General features: G+C 36.8%; 1 protein-coding gene and 1 long non-coding RNA gene across 5 annotated transcripts in view; one reads left to right on the top strand and one right to left on the bottom strand.

Annotated features, from left to right (window-relative positions):
* TRDN (triadin) overlaps positions 1 to 19,559 on the top strand; it is a 420,612-nt gene that overhangs the window by 171,046 nt on the left and 230,007 nt on the right. For 3 of the 4 annotated variants that reach the window (NM_006073.4, NM_001407315.1, NM_001251987.2), the window contains one exon: positions 922 to 999. In NM_006073.4, the coding sequence (NP_006064.2) occupies positions 922 to 999 (78 nt within the window). Of the gene's footprint in view, positions 1 to 921; positions 1,656 to 19,559 lie in introns of those variants that run through there. The other variant, NM_001256020.2, reaches the window with a different exon arrangement.
* Positions 1 to 19,559, bottom strand: part of TRDN-AS1 (TRDN antisense RNA 1) — a 32,153-nt gene that overhangs the window by 5,852 nt on the left and 6,742 nt on the right. The gene's annotated exons all lie outside the window — the stretch shown is intronic.

The following is a 19,559-nucleotide window of genomic DNA, read 5'->3' as shown; positions in this document are numbered from 1 at the left end:
AAAAGGAAAACTTTCAGTAAGGCAGGTCTGCTGACATTTGATAATATCTAGTTGTCAGTGAGATTTTAGAAGTTACACATGCCCATGTTGCATGTTGATTTCTGGATAAAAAACACACAGCAGAAGTTTATGGAATGAAAAGTAGTGATAAAATGTTTTGCAAGCAATTTATATGGGATCATATGATAGCTAATGTTGAGAGTTCATGGCCTGGATGGTATTGGTTAATTAAAGAAATCACTTGGGATAAAGAAGTACTTGGAAATGATTGTGGGTTTTCTTTCTTTCTCTCTCTCTCTCTTTTTTTTTTTTTTTTTTTTTTGCAGTTCATAATAAGCTCAGACAGAGACTTGAGAGAAGCTTTCAAAGTTCTATAAAACTGAATATATTTTCTCTTTGGCTCATTATTTACTTAACTACAGGTCATTTATTATGGTAGGGAAAAATGTATCTGTTCAATATCAAAGGCCTATGAATTTCAACCTTCTTTTATTGCCTATATTATATCATTTGAGAATTTTTAGTTAAATGGAAAAAATAGTGATTAATTTTATATTAAGATTCCCCCTCAGCTTCTGAGATTTTAGTTTCCATAACTTAGTGTGTATATTAAAAATAAATTGCTTAATTTGAGTACATGTACATTTTCCATTAATGAAGTCCAGTAGATATATTTAACATTGCATATCCATCTATGGAAAATAATATATTCAGAAATGGCTCTGAAGATAACTGAATCCGCGAAGGTGTCTTCTTAAAGATCTCCCTTAATAATAGCTTTCTTTTTTGCATAATAATATGATTTATACTTGGCTTGGTATTATGAATTATGCATGTAGGGGACAGATCTAGCTTTTTAGTTGTGGATATTAGATTTGTTAATACTTTTTTTTTTCCAATTCCTACTTCTACATTGTGTAGGACAAAGCCCAGCCATTCCACCTCCCTTACCGACAGAACAAGCTTCCAGACCCACTCCGGCATCACCTGCCCTTGAAGGCAAGTACTTTTTTTTTTCTTAAAGATCTCTATTGTAGATAAAATAGAATGTAGAGGAACAGCAACAACAAAAATAGTCACAAAGAAACAGCAAAATCCAATATTTTCTTAAATACTTTTAGTATGTCTAAACTATACTTTTCCTAAAATTGCAATTTGCTTCTTTTAGAAAACCAAAAATGTCCCCTTAAGATTCTATATTGGTGACCCTCAGCTTCCAGAAGGATGCCCACTCTAGCACTTTGGGAATCAAGCAAAAAAATATAGGGACAAATAGATAAGGCTATGCCTTGCAACTCTGGGAGTTTTACCACAACTTGATCAATTTAGTCTCTGAAGAGGCTGGTGCCAGATTTGCTGGGTTTGAATCTGAGCTCCACCTTTTCCTAGCTTTGTAAATTTGGAAAGTTATTTAAATTAACTCTTCATGAGTTTTGCCATCTCTAAGATGATATAAGCAGAGCACTGATCTCCTAGCGTTATTGTGAGGATTGAAATATATATATACACACACACTCACACACACACAAATACTGTTTTATGTATATGTATAGTTTATAAGTACTATATACAACTGGTGGTTAATACTACTAATAATTCTTGAAAATATGATGTCTCAAGATCAGCTTTGTAATAAATTTTGCTGGAACGTTAAAGTCATTTCTTTAAGTCTTCATTCATTTCTTAAACTTTTATTAAATCCCAAACATGGGATCATTTCAGATATTGTCCAAAATACTGGGGATTCAGAGATGAATAGAAAACAGTTCCTTCTCTGTCAAGACTCAATTTGCCTATATAAAACACCAGTAATTAAAGCTAAATCATTAATTTTTTACAACAGTACAAATGGAGGTCTTCCTCAGATCACAGCCACCCTAGAAAGGGGTAGAAACACCTAGCTCAGTCCCAAATTGGAAAAGATCTTCTGTGTGCAATGTGGACACTCCAGCCTGCTTGTTCAAGATCTTCCCACTCAGCTCAACAACTGCCCGTTGGCTTTGGCCATCCCTTGAGCCTAAGTGATGACACTCATGAGGATTCATCCAGGAAGAGGTTACTATTGTATATCACTTACCTAGAGAGTAAACAAGTGATTTACAAACAACCAGTCCAAAAAAAAAAAAACAGAAAGAAAATAGACCAAAAAAATCAGAATTACATTTATTTTGGCATTTGGACTATAATAGTTCACATGACTTAAGAGAATTTGACACAAAACTATCTCACTCGCCAAAATGTTCATTGGACAAGACAACCCCTATAAATAATAGCGTTGCCTTAATTTTTCATGGGATTCTAATTCTGTTGTTGTTTCCAGATGGACATAAAGCAACGAATTCAGATTTCCCAACTTGAGGGAGACTTTGATAGTCAGATTATTCAAGTGTTTGATGCCAAGTTATCTCCTAGCAGAGGCTCATAAAACACCAAGTAGCAAATATTTTGCTTAGCAATCTGTCACTTGGAAAAGGATGTGTCATTTGTTAAGTAGGACGCTTAGGTTCTGTTATTGTATTTATTTATTTATTTATTTATTTATTTATTATTTATTTTTTTTTTTTCTTGAGACGGAGTCTTGCTCTGCTGCCCAGGCTGGAAGTGCAGTGGCACCATCTCGGCTCACTGCAAGCTCCGCCTCCCGGGTTCACGCCATTCTCCTGCCTCAGCCTCCCGAGTAGCTGGGACTACAGGCGCCCGCCACCATGCCTGGCTAATTTTTTGTATTTTTAGTAGAGACGGGGTTTCACCGTGTTAGCCAGGATGGTCTCAATCTCCTGACCTCGTGATCCACCCTCCTTGGCCTCCCAAAGTGCTGGGATTACAGGCATGAGCTCCTGTTATTTTATTTAAAGAGCAATGTAATTTGACAGTTCATCCCAGAACCTAGTAATAGGCTGTGGTGAATAAAATAACAAGGTTTGAGGATCACAAGCCTTTGTCAGTGTCTTCTCTGAAAGCTTGAAGGCTGCTAACCCTGAGCAGCTCGGGGAGTCTATATTATCAGGCAATGCTGAGATCATGGGCTTTGTCAGGGCTTGCAGATGTGCTGCCTATGACTTCGTTAACATAATTGATTAGGAGCTAGGACATATTTAGTATTAATCAGGCTGTTTTTAGTGAGGCTGATTATGCCAGTCCTCTTGATGCACTATTTTAGTCTGGAACTTCCTTAGAACCAAGCTGCAAAAAGAAAAAAAAAATAAAGGCTTTATGTAAAAAGGAGGAACTTTCATGTGGCACTAAAGTATGCTGTTATATTTGAGGAATACAATTATATCAGGTCAAAATGTAGGAGAATGTACATATTTCAATTTTAATGTTTTTTAAAAGTAGAGCTCATATAGAGACTAGATTATTAAATTTGTTCACAGGAGACTAGAAACAAATAAAACTTCATTAGTAGAAATCTAAAAAAAATGTGGCTCTGTATGGGTAAAAGAATACTACAAATCTGTAAAGCCAATACTACACGTCTTTAAAGCCCATAAAAGCCTTCTTTGTGCTTTCATAGCATTTAAGAAACAAAACTTGCACAGTACTTACTTTGTTCTGGGAAGTATCTGTGTACTTCTTGTCTCAGTCCACTTATTTAGTGCCTTGAAATTGGTCTTGCCTTTCTTGGATTTCTGTGTTGTCCCCACATTGCGTGCTTTGTCTGCCATAATGAAGCTTTTATTACTTTGAATTTTTTGATACAAAGGGACTAATTATATATTAAATCATTTATTTCCTTTGACTCTTATTTTATGTTTTAGAATTTGTTTGGCCAGGAAAAATTGGCTACAATAGGTTTTGAAAAGATCTTGTACAATAACCACTTCACATCATCATTGTGGTCATTGTTGTAAATTTGTATTTAATTATGGATATAACTGAAACTAATTTAAAATGAACCTAATGTAAATATAATATTAATTCTCATCTTTTAAGCAATTTTGAATTCCCGTGTCTATTGGGAGCTCTTACTAGGGCTGAAACGCCTACAAGTTCAAAGGGACACTGTAGTTATCCATTTCTTTCAAAAATTGGGCTGACTTATGTGAGGTTTTTCCTCAAATCAAATAGTATCTTATAATATTAACATTATAGGTGATTTTAGCTCTTAGCATGAAAGGTCCTTTATCATCAAATGTTTTTCAGCATCTCTGCTAACCTGTTACCTCAAGAACTGTATTTCTCAGAATCCTCAGCGGTTAAACAGAACAACTTCAGGCAATGTTGCCCGCCCTCTTCCCGATTACCAAGGAAGGCAGAAAAGTTGTTTCATAAAATCCTTGTATAAGCAAAATTACCATATATGATTCCATTCATCTTTAATCAACAATACCAGATAATTTCTTTCCCACTACTTTCACCCACATGTAATTATTGGGCATTTAGTATAAAATTACCAGGACTCCTCTGTTGTGGCAAAGATGTGGAAGGAAGAAGTTAAGTTATACTTAAATTACTTTTAATATTTCATTAAACAGCTGCAATTTACATGAATGAAGTCGAATAGAGAAAGGTGAATTACTATCAAGTACCCTATATCTTGTTGAATAAATATATAACTAGTACTTAGTCTTGCAATTATAAATAATATTATAAATGCTAACACTTGTATGTGAACAAGAGAACTCTAGAGAGAAGACCAGAGTCCTGCCCAATCTCAGCTTTGATACTAATGAGTTGCATGGTCTTTGACAAATCAATTGACTTCTTAGGGCCTCAATTTCTTCACCTATGAACCAAACTTAAATAGTCTCTAAAGTCCCTCTATGCTTTTATACCCAAAGATTTCACACCTGTATTTTTCAGGCTGGTAGATTGGTAATAAACTGCCAGAAGAACAGAGTGAACCCTACATAGCTTTGCCCAGTGGTTAAATAGCAACTGTAGATATGATAGAGATGTTAAAGTTGTTGGGACAATGGATAATACTATGAAGCATTATTTACTGAAACACAAAAATAAGTTACATAAATCATAAAGGCTGTAAAAGGAGGAAGATGAGATATAAATGAGGCAAGGTTATCAAGTGAAACCTCAAGTCTTTCATTGAGCCATAAAGAGTAAGTTAGTTGAATTTGTATAGATACAGAGGAGAAAAGAACATTATATAAAATTTATTATAGGATAATTTTTTACCATAGGATGCATCTGAAGACAATATTCTACAGGAGCTAGTAAGGTTTTATTTACAATTCTATTAAACCAAGAACTTTATTACCTTAGCTCCTCAGTGAGATATATCCTGAGAAGTAAAAAAATAAAATAAAATAATAAAATAGAAATTTGGCCTCAATTTTTATTTCATTAACTCCATGACACAATAGATTTTATTGAACTTCAGGTCAATATAATATTTTTCTTTGTTTTGTGGAGAAATAAAGTCATATCTTTTGGTGATTTTTAATAGGATTGCCCTTTAGTTACAAATTATGATAAAATATATAAACCAAACTACTTTTACCACCTATTTAACTTAAAGAGTTGCTAATAACAATATAGCACATTTTCTAGCACAGTTAGATACTCAACCATTGGTTGCTGTTAATATTTTTTACATCAGGAAATTTCTTATACATATAAAAACCATTAATTTTATGGTAGCTCTTTATTGGTATCCACAGAAGCTAGTAAGGTGATTGCTTTCATGACATTGGTCAGTATACATAAAACTCTAATATAATTTTTCAATACAGGACTGGAACCATATCTTGGAATGTTTTGTATACACAGCTAAAGCTTTTACATGTCCTGATAGACTGTGTGGTACTGCTTAAGCAATTGAGCAGAGAGTAGTATGATTAACTTTGTTTTCAAGATTATGTGTCAACTATAGAAAGGATGAATTGGTGAGTGGTGAGCTTAAGAGTTGGGAGTATAAGACAAATTTAGGAGAATACTGCCCATGGGAAAACTTATGCTACTTTTCTTTTAAACAATCACATTTTACTCTCAAAACAACTACAAGTAGTGAATATGATTTATGTCATTTTAAAGAGAAGATCGGAGAAATCAAGTAAATTGCCTAAGATAACACAGCTCTAAAAATGGTATAACTGGAATTGAAAGCCAGGTGTCTCCTACCAAGGCTCAGTCTATTTCCATTATCCTAAAATGGCAATTAAGTGTTAGAGCTGAGTATAATTGCTAAAGTTCTTATCTGATTTGGTTAATTGAATGGCATTAAGAATAAGAACAGGTTTTGAGAGATAATAATGAGTTACATTTGGGGCTTGCTGGGTGTATTGGGGTCCCTGGAACACTTGCATGAGTGATTAAAAGAGTTTAATGAATATAGTACTTTTAAAGGTTTGCAGGGTTATGGTGGAGCCCCAAGAGCTAGCCAAAGTAGGAAGCCTTTATCACTCCTATGCCTGAAGAGGCAAGAGAATAGAATGGTTTAGACATCCAGAAAGCCTTATAGCTTTAGGGAAGAGATGTCCAATCAGAACATCTGAAGGTCATGTCCTTCAGTAGGGGACCACAACCACCAACCAACACTCTGTAAAATGATGTATGTAAAATTCTCAGTGAGCCTGGGAGGAAACTAGAGAATAGATGCCCAGATCTCTCTCTTTGTCTTACTGTATTATCTCTGGATGTTGCTCTTATAGGCCAAAACAGCCCACATTCAGAGGACATGGGGCTTGATTAATGTAACCCATAAGGGTCGGGGTGGAGAGGGACCTGGAGAGAACATGGAGACCACATGTCAGGCAGGATGCTGAGCTTGATCCACATAAGTGGTAATCTGCAGTGGACAACTGAATATATGAGTCAGGAGTTTACAAATGAGGGAGATATAGATATTGAAGTCATAAGTTAGCCCTGGCACAGCATTTCTTGGAATATGTTATGAGAAACTCTAGTTCTATGATATTATTTGTTAAAAACAGTTTTCATGACAAAACACTTTTGGGCAGCTTAATATATTATATTTTTTCTTTTGCATTTACAATGCACACACACATATATCAAAGGATCCAAAAATTCTGTATGTTAAGGAAATCTGTTTAACTTTTTTAAACCAGTGTTCCCCTTTTTTTTTAATCACAGAAATATTTCTATTTCTGATAATACTCATCAATTTCCTAAAGAGCAAATGATCTCAAAAACACTGTCATACAAAGGTTAGCTTCAAACATAACTAAAGAGCAGGTCAGCCATGAATCTGAGGCTGTTTAGAACACAGCATAGACCCAAGAAAGGAAATGTAGAACACATTGATTTAGTCAGCATTCTCCAGAGAAACAAAACCAGTAGGAGACATCTATCTCTCTATCTATTTATTGAGAAAATATTATTTATGTTAAAGGATTGGCTGATGCAGCTGCAGGGGCTAGTAAGTCCAAAATCTGCAGGGCATGCAGGCAGTCTGAGGGCCCAGGGAATAGTTTGTTTTGCAGTCTTGAGTCTGAAGGCAGTCTGAAAGAAGACTTCCTTCCTCCTTGGGGGACTTCAGTCTTTTCTCTTTAAGGCCTTCAACTGATTAGACAAGGCCCATCCCACATTACAGAGGGTAATCTGCTTTATTCAAAGTCTATGATTTAAATGTGAATTACATCTAAAAACTACCTTTGTAGAAACATCTAGACTTATCTTTGATCAAATAAGTGTTACCAAAGCCTACCCGAATTGATGCATAAAATTAGCTATCACAAATATCATTAGAATACAAACTGATAAAGCCAAAGATGAGAGAATATGAAAGAGAAAAGGGTATAACAGGCCCCAGTGCTCCAGAGAGATGGATAACACAAAGACTGGCCAGGAAAATTTACATTTGTCAATTAGAAAATTATGCTCATCTACTCTTGACTCTAAATTTTCTCTCTGCTACATATAAATGAGGATGCAGTAGTCATGAGTTTGAACTAAAGGATCAACTGTAAGATTTTTATTAGTTCCCTTAATCTCTGAAAGACTGGGTTTCCTCATCTGCCAGATGATATTTACTAGTAGGATTTAGTAGTGCTTTCGGAAGAAAAAAGAATTTTGGAGAGAAAGCTGTGATGGCGGAGGCTTGGGAAACTAGATTACGAATGGAATCTTTAGAATATTTTGTTTTGGATCATATGATGTTGACTATTTGAGATATTTCAATAAAGATTTAAACATATTTTCAATTTTTTCTTAGAATTTTAGACTCTTGTTTTTTATTTTTTTAACTGAAACACTGTACTAGGGCTTGGCCTGAGGTAACATAGGTATCTTTCAGTTAATATGTTAAAACAAGTATAATTCAGCTTAGTGTCATGGAAAAGTAGGTAAGTATTAATAACTGTTGAGTAAATTTTCTTAAAAACACAAAAACAAATAGGTGACAAAGCATCAAAAGAAAAAAAAAGGAAAATGAAAAGGGAAAGAAATGAGAGTTCCCCATGAATTATGAGCTATAAATATATTTTAATAGACAAGAAACTTGTATCTCTAAACTTACAACTTTCTTCTTTTGTTATATTGGTTTTGATTTCCTGTTATTGATTATTAAAAAGACCTTTTGTGAAAACAATTAACTTTTTCTCACTGTCCTATCCATAAGAGGAAGCAGTTTTGTTTTTCTTACCCTCTACAGCTGCCAAGATAGATAGGGGCATCTGTCTGTCTTGACTGTTCAGTATCAAGAGGTATTTACTCTGAAGACCAGGAATGTTCCCCCATGATGCGGGAAACAGGAAAAGGGCCTTCTGTTGAGATCAGGGCCAGTTTCCTGCTTCACAGCCCTTTCCTAACTGTTAATGCTAGTATAAAAGAAATGGTTTTTTACTTGCATTTTGACTTGTAAAAGACCAAAGAAGAAGGATGACACAGTTTGTGAATTTGAGCGAATTTGATCTAATCTCTTTCTTGTTATGGAATTCTAAGTGAAACTTCCTTGTGTCAGCAAATTTTCTCATAAAACATTTTATAAAAAAGAATGTTTCCTCCAATGCTCTTGCTTACAAGTACCAATTTTTCCTTATAAAACATTTGTTTGCGATCTGGTCTGTTTGACATAAATATTTCTTCCTATTATACCAGCTTGTTACAATTCCAAATGGCGTCATCCTTTCCCTCTCTAGAATGAGTGAGAAAAGTGGCTGCATCTTCAAGACCAAGTGTATTTTACATAGATGGAGTAAACAGTCTTGGAAATTGCTCATTTAATAAAGGATAAGGAATGCTGTAATCCCCAACACTTTGGGAGGCCAAGGTGGGTGGATCGCTTCAGCTCAGGAGTTAGAGACCAGCCTGGGCAACATGGCGAAACCCTATCTCTACAAAAAATATAAAAATTAGCCGGGCATGGAGGCATATGCCTGTAGTCCCAGCTACTCAGGAAGATGAGGTGGGAGGATCACTTGAGCCTGGGAAACAGAGGTTGCAGTGAGCCGAGATCCCACGACTGCACTCTAGCCTGGGTAACAAAGTGAGGCCCTGTCTCAAAAAAAGAAAAAAAAAATGCCTGCTTCAATTAAATGAGAATTTTATATAAAAACATTTGTAATTTACTAGAATAAAACTTATATTAAGAAGTAGAAGACATAATGTGTTACTAGTTTGTTTTAATCCATAAGAGACGGTAAAATCTCTCATGTAGTGCATCAGTTCAAATAAGCCTGAACTCAGCATATTGAAATGATTACAACTTAAAAAGTTGTGGTCTTTATATGGGCACTTGCTTCTATTTTAAGAATGGATATCCATTAGGCAAATTTAAAAAATTGAAAGGCTTCATTTGAAAATCAGACTTACACATGTGTCCCATATACTAGTAATTTTTTATTTTAAAGTCAAATCATATTTTAAAATAGCTATTGGGTCTTATTAATTTATTTAATAAATCAAGTCCAAAACTGTTATAAAAATAGCAGTATCTTTGAAATAGTACTTTAAGGTAATGTATGTTTTGGTTTTGAGTTGCAACCAACTTTTTCTTGTACTGATAATTTAGTCATGAAAAGAAAAAGCTCAATTTTCTAACGTTTCTAGGCATCCTTGACATTTTAAATGTAATGAAATATTCTTGCAATCCATTTCCAATTACAGAAAAATGTAGAAAAACATATAGATAAAATATGGAAACAGTAATTTTATGTAAGTAACATGATATTGTAAATGAAAAGTTGTTAGAAAAGAAACTTATATTTATGTTTTCTTTACTATTTCTACAAGACACTTTAGGAAAGCTTACAATAAAACATCTTGAGTAAGCAATGATTCTGCATAAAAATTTAAAAGAGTTTTTTAGGAATTTCCAAAAGTCAGCAACACCAAACAAACAAACAAAAGCATTTGTAATTTATGGAGTTATCTAAAGAGATAAGTGCATGTGAATTGAGCTTCTCCTCTGAGTCCAAGTCAGTAAACTTTGAGCATTTGCCTTCTGAAATGCAAAAGCACTGAGTGGAAAAATAAAATATAGCATCTCCTTTTCCTTCTCCCGTCTCGCTCCTCTTTTCTTCTCTCTTTGTTTCTCTAACACACACAGACACACACACACACACACACACACACACACACAGTGGTTGCCTTTTTTGTTTCACTCTATATAGAAAGTGAGAAAGAACAGACATGGCACCCCTCAGCTATATAAACACAACCCATTTTAAATAAATGCAATCACTCATGTAAAAAGCTTTATCATTTTCAAAAGGTTTGGGAGAAATCTACCTTATCCATTTTAAATGCTAAGTTTAATTAACATAGAAACATTTTTGCAATTTGAAATGTATTGAATAATCTTTCTCGTTACCTTTCCTTTTGCATACTAAATTCAGAAATATGAAAAAAAAATCGTGAAGTCAAATAACTTTGGTTGTGAGACAGTTGAAAGATAAGTTTGGCATTGATGAAGTAAAAGGTGGCACTTCTTTTCTGCCCATGACTCAATCAGCTTGAAAGTTTTTCACAGAGTATATCTATCTCAAGCTTCATTATCCATGTTGCAGGAGAGAAACAGGGTTTGTGATCATCTTTAGATTTAAATTTTGTTCTGTCACTTACATCAGCATTCCTCAACCTTTTTGGCACCAGGAACCTGGTTCCTGGAAGACAATTTTCCCGGGGACAGGGGTGAGAGGAGGGATGGTTTCAGGATGAAACTGTTCCACTTCAGATCATCAGGCATTAGATTCTCATAAGGAGCATGCAACCTAGATCCCTTGCATGTGCAGTTCACAAGAGGGTTTGCTCTCCTATGAGAATCTAATGCAGCTGCTGATCCGACAGGAGGCGGAGCTCAGGCAGTAATGCTCATTTGCACTCTGCTCACCTCCTGCTGTGCACCCTAGTTCCTAACAGGGCACTGACCAATACTGGCTTGCAGCACAGGGGTTGGGGACCCTGACTCATATGACCTGTGAAGTTGGCCACATTCGTCATCTTTCCTGAGCCCATTTCCTCACAGGTTATAAGATGTGTAGACTTTTACCTGAGAATGAAGTATATTCTAGTGCATACAAGCTCATGTGCTTTATTCTAATAGTATAATTTCTTATTGTCTTGAAATTACTGTGGTTCCAACCCAAACTAAAACATATTTTTTTACCTTGTTTGACCATGTAAAATAAAGTGATTATTAAAATCCTTTCATCACACCTTTCGGAGGCTCAAAGGGAAAAAGGTAGTATGATATCATTTTTTAACATTTTTCCGTCAGTTATTGAGTACAGGTGGTATTTGGTTACATGAGTAAATTTTTTAGTGGTGATTTGTGAGATTTTGGTGCACCCATCATCCGAGAAGTATACACTGCACCGTATTTGTAGTCTTTTGTCCCTCGTCCCCCTCCCACTCTTCCCCCAAGTCCGCAAAGTTCATTGTATCATTCTTATGTCTTTGTGTCCTTATAGCTTAGCTCCCACAAATTAGTGAGAACACCCGATGTTTGGTTTTCCATTCCTGAGTTACTTCACTTAGAATAATAGTCTCCAATCTCATCCAGGTCACTGCAAATGCTGTTAATTCATTCCTTTTTATGGCTGAGTTGTATTCCATCATGTATATATATACATACACACACACACACACACACACACCACAGTTTCTTTATCCACTCATTGACTGATGGGCATTTGGTTTGGTTTCACAATTTTGTAATTGTGAATTGTGCTGCTATAAACATGCGTGTTCAATCTTTTTCAAATAATGGCTTCTTTTCCTTTGGGTAGATACTCAGTAGTGGGATTGCTGGATCAAATGGTAGTTCTACTTTTAGTTCTTCAAAGAATCTCCACACTGTTTTCCATAGTGGCTGTACTAGTTTACATCCCCACCAGCAGTGTAGAAGTGTTCCCTAATCACCACATACATGCCACTACTGTTTTTTTATTTTTTTTATTATGGCCATTCTTGCAGGAGTAAGGTGGTGTTTCATTGTGGTTTTGATTTGCATTTCCTTGATCATTAGTGATGTTGAGCATTTTTTCATATTTTTGTTGGCCATTTGTATATCTTCTTTTGAGAATTGTCTATTCATGTCCTTAGCCCACTTTTTGATGAGATTGTCTGTTTTTTTTCTTACTGTCTTGTTTGAGTTTGTTGTAGATTCTGGATATTAGTCCTTTGTCAGATGTATAGATTGTGAAGATTTTCTCCCACTCTGTGGGTTGTCTGTTTACTCTGCCAACTGTTCCTTTTGCTGTGCAAAAGCTCTTTAGTTTAATTAGGTCCCAGCTATTTATCTTTGTTTTTATTGCATTTGCTTTTGGGTTATTGGTCATGAAATCTTTGCCTAAGGCAATGAATGTCTAGAAGGGTTTTTCCAATGTTATCTTCTAGAATTTTTATAGTTTCATGTCTTAGGTTTAAATCCTTTATCCATCTTGGGTTGATTTCTGTATAAGGTGAGAGATGAAGATCCAGTTTCATTCTCCTACATGTGGCTAGCCAATTATCCCAGCACCATTTGTTGAAAAGGGTGTCCTTTCCCTACTTTATGTTTTTGTTTGCTTTTTCGAAGATCAGTTGGCTGTAAGTATTCGGGTTTATTTATGGGTTCTCTATTTTGTTCCATTGATCTATGTGCCTATTTTTATAACAGTACCATGATATTTTGGTGACTATGGCCTTATAGTATAGTTGGAAATCAGGTAGTGTGATGCGTCCAGATTTGTACTTTTTGCTTAGTCTTGTTTTGGTTATGTGGGCTCTTTTGTGGTTCCATATGAATTTTAGAATTGTTTTTTCTAACTCTGCGAAGAATTACGGTGGTATTTTGTTGGGGATTGCATTGAATTTGCAGATTGCTTTTGGCAGTATGGTCATTTTCCCAAGATTGATTATATCCATCCATAAGCGTGGGATGTGTTTCCATTTGTTTGTGTTGTCTATAATTGCTTTCAGCAGTGTTTTGTAGTTTTCCTTGTAGAGGTCTTTCGACTCCTTGGTTAGGCATATTCCTAACTATCTTACGTTTTTTTTTTGCAACTATTGTAAAAGGAATTGAGCTCTTGATTTAATTTTCTGCTTGGTTGTTGCTGATGTATAGAAGAACTGCTGATATGTGTACATTAATCTTGTATCTGGAAACTGTGCTGAATTATTTTATCAGTTCTAGGAGCTTTCTAGAGGAGTCTTTAGGTTTTTCAAGGTAAAAGATCATATCGTCAGCAAATAGTGACAGTTTGACTTCCTCTTTCCCGATCTGAATGCTCTTTATTTCTTTCTCTTGTCTAATTGCTCTGGCTAGGACTTCTAGTACTATGTTGAAGAGAAGTGGTGAGAGTGGACATCCTTGTCTTGTTCCAGCTCTCAGAGGGAATGCTTTCAACTTTTACCCATTCAATATATGTTGGCTGTGGGTTTTTCATGGAAAGCTTTTATTACATTAAGGTATGTCCCTTGAATGCTGATTTTGCTGAGAGTTTTAATCACAAAGTGATGCTGGATTTTGTCTCATGCTTTTTCTGCATCAATTGAGATGATCATATGATTTTCGTTTTTAATTCTGTTTATGTGGTGTATTGAATTTATTGACTTGCATATGTTAAACCATCCCTTCATCCCTGGTATGAAACCCACTTGATCATGGTGGATTATCTTTTTGATATGTTATTGGATTCCGTTAGCTAGTATTTTGTTAAGGATTTTAACATTTATGTTCATCAAGGATATTGGTCTGTAGTTTTCATTTTTCATTATGTCCTTTCCTGATTTTGGTATTCAGGTAATACTGACTTCATAAAATGAATTGGGGAGAATTCCTTATTTCTCTATCTTGTGGAATAGTGTCAAAAGTATTGGCACCAATTCTTCTTGGAATGTCTGGTAGAATTCTGTGAATCCAACTGGTCCTGGACTTTTTTTTGTTGGTAATTTTTAAATTATGATTTCAGTCTTGCTGCTTGTTATTGGTCTGCTTAGGGTATCTAATTCTTCCTGATTTAAACTAGGAGGGATGTATTTTTCTAGGAATTTATCCATCTCTTCTAGGTTTTTAGTTTATGTGGGTAAAGGTGTTCATAATAGCCTTGAGTGATCTTTTTTATTTCAGTGGTGTCAATTGTAATGTCTCCTGTTTCATTTCTTAGTGAAGTTATTTGTATTTTCTCTCTTCTCTTCTTGGTTAATCTTGCTAATGGTCTATCAATTTTATTTATCTTTTCAAAGAACCAGCTTTTTATTTCATTTATCTTTTGTATTTTTTTGTTGTTGTTTCAATTTTATTTATTTCTGCTCTGATCTTGGTTATTTCTTTCTTCTGCTGGGTTTGGGTTTGGTTTGCTCTTGTTTCTCTAGTTCTATGAGGTGTGACCTTAGAAGTCAATTTTTGCTTTTTTAGTCTTTTTGATGTAGGCATTTAGGGCCATGAACTTTCCTCTCAGCACTGCCTTTGCTGAATCCCAGAGGTTTTGGTAGGTTGGTTATTATTGTCATTCAGTTCAAATAATTTTTAAATTTCCTTCTTGATTTTGTTTTTGAGCCAGTGCTCATTTGGGAGCAGGTTATTTAATTTCCATGTATTTGCATGGTTTTGAAGATTCCTTTTGCAGTTGATTTCCAGTTTTATTCCACTGTGGTCTGAGAGAGTGCTTGATATAATTTCAGTTTTCTTAAATTTATTGAGGCTCATTTTATGGCCTACCATATGATCTATCTTGGAGAAAGTTCCGTGCACTATTGAATAGAATGTGTATTCTGTGGTTGTTGGATGAAATGTTCTGTATATATCTGTTAAGTCCAGTTGTTCCAAGATATAGTTTAAATCCATTGTTTCTTTGTTGATTTTCTGTCTTGATGATCAGTTTAGTGCTGTCAGTGGAGTATTAAAGTCCCCCACTATTTTTGTGTTGCTATCTATCTAATTTCTTAGGTCTGTTAGTAATTGTTTTATAACTTTGGGAGCTCCAGTGTTAGGTGCATATATATTTAGGATTGCAATATTTTCCTGTTGGACAAGACCTTTTACCATTATATAATGTCCCTCTTTGTCTCTTTTTACTGCTGTTGGTTTAAGGTTTTTCTTGTCTGTTTTTCTTGTCTGATATAAGAATAGCTACCTCTGCTTGCTTTTGGTGTCTGTTTGCATGAAATGCCTTTTTCTACCCCTTTCCTTTAAGTTTATGTGTGTCCTTAAGTCTTAGGTGAGTCTCCTAAAGGCAGCAGATAGTTGGTTGGTGATTTCTTAGCCATTCTGTGGTTCTGTATCTTTTAAGTGGAGCATTTAGGCCGTTTACATTCAATGTTAGTATTGAAATGGGAGGCACCATTGCATTCATTGTGCTCTTTGTTGCCTGTGTACTTTGGTTATTTTGTTTTTGCTTTTCAACTTCTATTTTTGTCTTATAGGGCCTATGTGATTTATGCTTTAAAGAGGTTCTGTTTTGATGTGTTTCCAGGATTTGTTTCAAGATTTAGAGCTCCTTTTAGCAGTTCTTGTACTGGTGGCTTGGTAATGGCGAATTCTCTCAGTATTTGTTTGTCTGAAAAAGACTTCATCTTTCCTTCATATATGATGCTTAGTTTCACTGGATACAAAATTCTTGGCTGATGATTGTTCTGTTTGAGGAGGCTGAAGATAGGGCCCCAATCCCTTCTGGCTTGTAAGGTTTCTGCTCAGAAATCTGTTGTTAATCTGATAGGTTTTTCCTTTAGAGGTTACCTGGTGCTTCTCTCACAGCTCTTAAGATTGTTTCCTTCATCTTAACTTTGGATAACCTGATGACAATGTGCCTAGGTGATGATCTTTTTGCAATGAATTTCCCAGGTGTTCTTTGTGCTTCTTGTATTTGGATGTCTAAGTCTCTAGCAAGGCTGGAGTAGTTTTCCTTGATTATTCCCCCAAATATGTTTTACAAGATTTTAGAATTCTCTTATTCCTCAGGAAAACCGATTATTCTTAGATTTGGTCATTTAACATAATCCCAGACTTCTTGGAAGCTTTGTTCATATTTTCTTATTCACTGTTCTTTGTCTTTATTGGATTGGGTTAATTCAAAGACCTTGTCTTAGAGCTCTGAATTTCTTTCTTTTAATTGTTCGATTCTATTGCTGAGATTTTCCAGAGCATTTCACATTTCTAAAAGTGTGTCCAAAGTTTCCTGAATTGTTGATTTTTTTTAATCGATCTATTTCCTTGAATATTTCTCCCTTCACTTCTTGTATTGTTTTTTGGATTTCCTTGCACTGGGCTTCACCTTTCTCTGGTGCCTCCCTGATTAGCTTAATAACCTAACTCCTGAATTCTTTTTCAGGTAAATCAGAGATTTCTTCTTGGTTTGAATCCTTTGCTGGTGAACTAGTATGATTTTTGGGGTGTGCTGAGAAGCCTTGTTTTGTCATATTACCAGCGTTGGTTTTCTGGTTCCTTCTCATTTGGGTAGGCTCTGTCAGAGTGAAGGTCTAGGGCTGAAGGCTGTTGTTCAGATTCTTTTGTCCCCTAGGGTGTTCTCTTGATGTAGTACTCTCCCCCTTTTCCTATGGATGTGGCTTCCTGTGAGCCAAACTGCAGTGATTGTTGTCTCTCTTCTGGGTCTAGCCACCCAGCGCGTCTACCCGGCTCTGGGCTGGTACTGGGGTTGTCTGCACAGAGTCCTGTTATGTGAACCATCTGTGGGTCTCTCAGCCACGAATACCAGTGCCTATTCTGGTGGAGGTGGCAGGGGAGTGCAATGGACTCTGTGAGGGTTCTTAGCTTTTGTGGTTTAATGCTCTATTATTGTGCTGGTTGGCCTCCTGCACCAAAGTGCAGGAGGTGGTGCTTTCCAGAGAGCATCAGCTGCAGTAGTATGGAGAGGGACCAGTAGTGGGCGTGGCCTTTTGTCTTCTGCTACCTGGGTGGGTAGGGAAGGACCATCAAACGGGGGCAGGGCTAGGAATGTCTGGGCTCAGACTCTCCTTGGGTGGGTCTTGCTGTAGCTGCTGTGGGGGATGGGGGTGAGATTCCCAGGTCACTGGAGTTGTGTAAGTAGGAGGATTATGGCTGTCTCTGCTGAGTCATGCAGGTTGACAGGGAAGTCGGGGAAAGCCAGCAGTCACAGGCCTCACCCAGCTCCCAAGCTAACCAAAGGGCCAGTCTCACTCCCACCATGTCCCCCGCCAACAGCCCAAGTCTGTTTCCAGGTGGAGGGCGAGATGGGCTTGAAAACTTGCCCGAGGCTACCCACCTTCCAGCTGCAAAAGAAAAGGGCTTGGTTCTTCCCCTGCCTGTGGAGTCTGCACACCAGATTTGCACCCTCCCCGGAGTTCTGGCCAGGAGGCTTCTCACCCCATTCAAATTGTTACAAAGTTCAGCTAGAGATTTTCTTCTCCCTGTGGTTTTACCCCCTGCTCTTCTGACCACCCTCCTGATGAATCCCTGTGGTGCCAGGCAGGAATGGCCTGCTAGGGGACCCAGCGAGCTCTCAGTGTCTTTCTGCTGCTTCCTCTGCCCCTGCATTTTGCTCAACTCTCCAAATTGACTCAGCTCCTGATAAAGTTGGAAATTTCTCCTGCAAACAGCCCATCATTTTCTACAGTGGGGGTGTGTATTCGGGAGAAGAGGGTCTCCCTTTCCCACTTCCACAGTTGGGGCACTCTCGGTATTTGAGGTGACTCCCAGGTCCTGCAGAAGCAGTCTGCTTCCTTCAGAGGGTCTGTGGGTCCTCTTGGGATTGCTGATTTGTTCTTGCAGTTGATCTGGAGCTAACATTCACAACGACCTTTTTTTTTTTTTTTTGAAACTGATCTCACTCTGTGGCCCAGACTAGAGTGCAGTGGCCACAATCTTGGGTCACTGCCTGTAGTATGGTATCTTGAAGAAGTTTGAATTTAAACAGATAAGACCTAGAGTCCTTTACAACATTTATTTCATGAATGATATAGCTTCACTGAGTTCTCAACTGCATCTGCAAGACATGAGCTATGACTGTACCTCAGTTCCTTCAGCTGGCATTTATAATAACACGTGCTATCCAGAGTTCATGCTGGGCCCCACAGGCCCTTTTAGATTCAGTCTGAGGTTACAACCCCCAGGAGTAGCTTTCCACTCCACTCAGCCATGGGGAGTTGCATGTCTCTCTTGATTCCCACATGCTTCACGTCTACTGTTTCTCAAAGTCCTTATTGTAATTATGAACTTTCTTACTTACTGCTGTCACACCTAGTATTACTGGAAGGAGGTTTTTAAAACTCCAAACACAGGCAAAGGGTTTTGGCATAAGACTAGATAAGCATTTGTTGATTTATGTGAATAAATTGTATGACTAAAGGTCTCGGGTAGTCACTGGAAAGTGCTGTAGAATTGCTGCTTGTTAGTTGTTTGTTGTTAACAGTTGATAATGAGAAGAGCAGACTTCTGAGAATAATTCAGCTATCACTAAAGAAAAGTCAAGGCAAAAAAAAAAATGGATTCAGAGCCTGAAAGGCCAGCTTAGTTATGCCACATAACTCAAGTGAAGTCCTTAATTTAAAAAGCTTTTCTGTCATAGCAACCTAATTACAATGTGAAGGGAGGTACTCTTACCATGTTGCTATAAAGTTGCGTGCCTTCCAGAGTCCCAAATAAAATTCCGAGGAAATTTTTGGAAAAAAAAAATAGAAGAAGAATATTTGTTCTGAATTATTTTTTTCCCTAAGTCTTCTCCCTTTCAATTTGATCACAAAATCCAATGAGACACTTGACCACCTAGCAACAGCCAAAGTTTTTCTTAAACCATCACTCAGAATTGTATAACTTCTCTGCTTAAACCTCTCACTGGCTTCCTATGTTACTCACAGGGAAATGGAAAATTCATACCAGTAAAAAGATTCTAGGAGATCTGCCCTACTACATCTTGGCTGCAGCACTCAACACTCCCCTCCTGAGTCCTCTACTCTGGCCTCACTAGGCCTAGCTCTTCTTTTTTTTTTTTTTTTTTTTTTTTTGAGATGGAATCTGGCTCTGTTGCCCAGACTGGAGTGCAGTGGCACAATCTCAGCTCACTGCAAGCTCCACCTCCTGGGTTCACGCCGTTCTTCTGCTTCAGCCTCCGGAGCAGCTGGGGCTACAGGTGCCCACCACCACGCCACCTGGCTAATTTTTTCTTTTTAGGTAATTCATTTATTTATTTATTTTCTTTTATTATTATACTTTAAGTTTTAGGGTACACGTGCACATTGTGCAG

This window comes from Homo sapiens, chromosome 6 (genome assembly GCF_000001405.40).
Source record: "Homo sapiens chromosome 6, GRCh38.p14 Primary Assembly".
Taxonomy (NCBI): domain Eukaryota; kingdom Metazoa; phylum Chordata; class Mammalia; order Primates; family Hominidae; genus Homo; species Homo sapiens.
The sequence above is the reverse complement of the archived record's forward strand: the minus strand, read 5'-3'. Positions and strand labels throughout refer to the sequence as shown.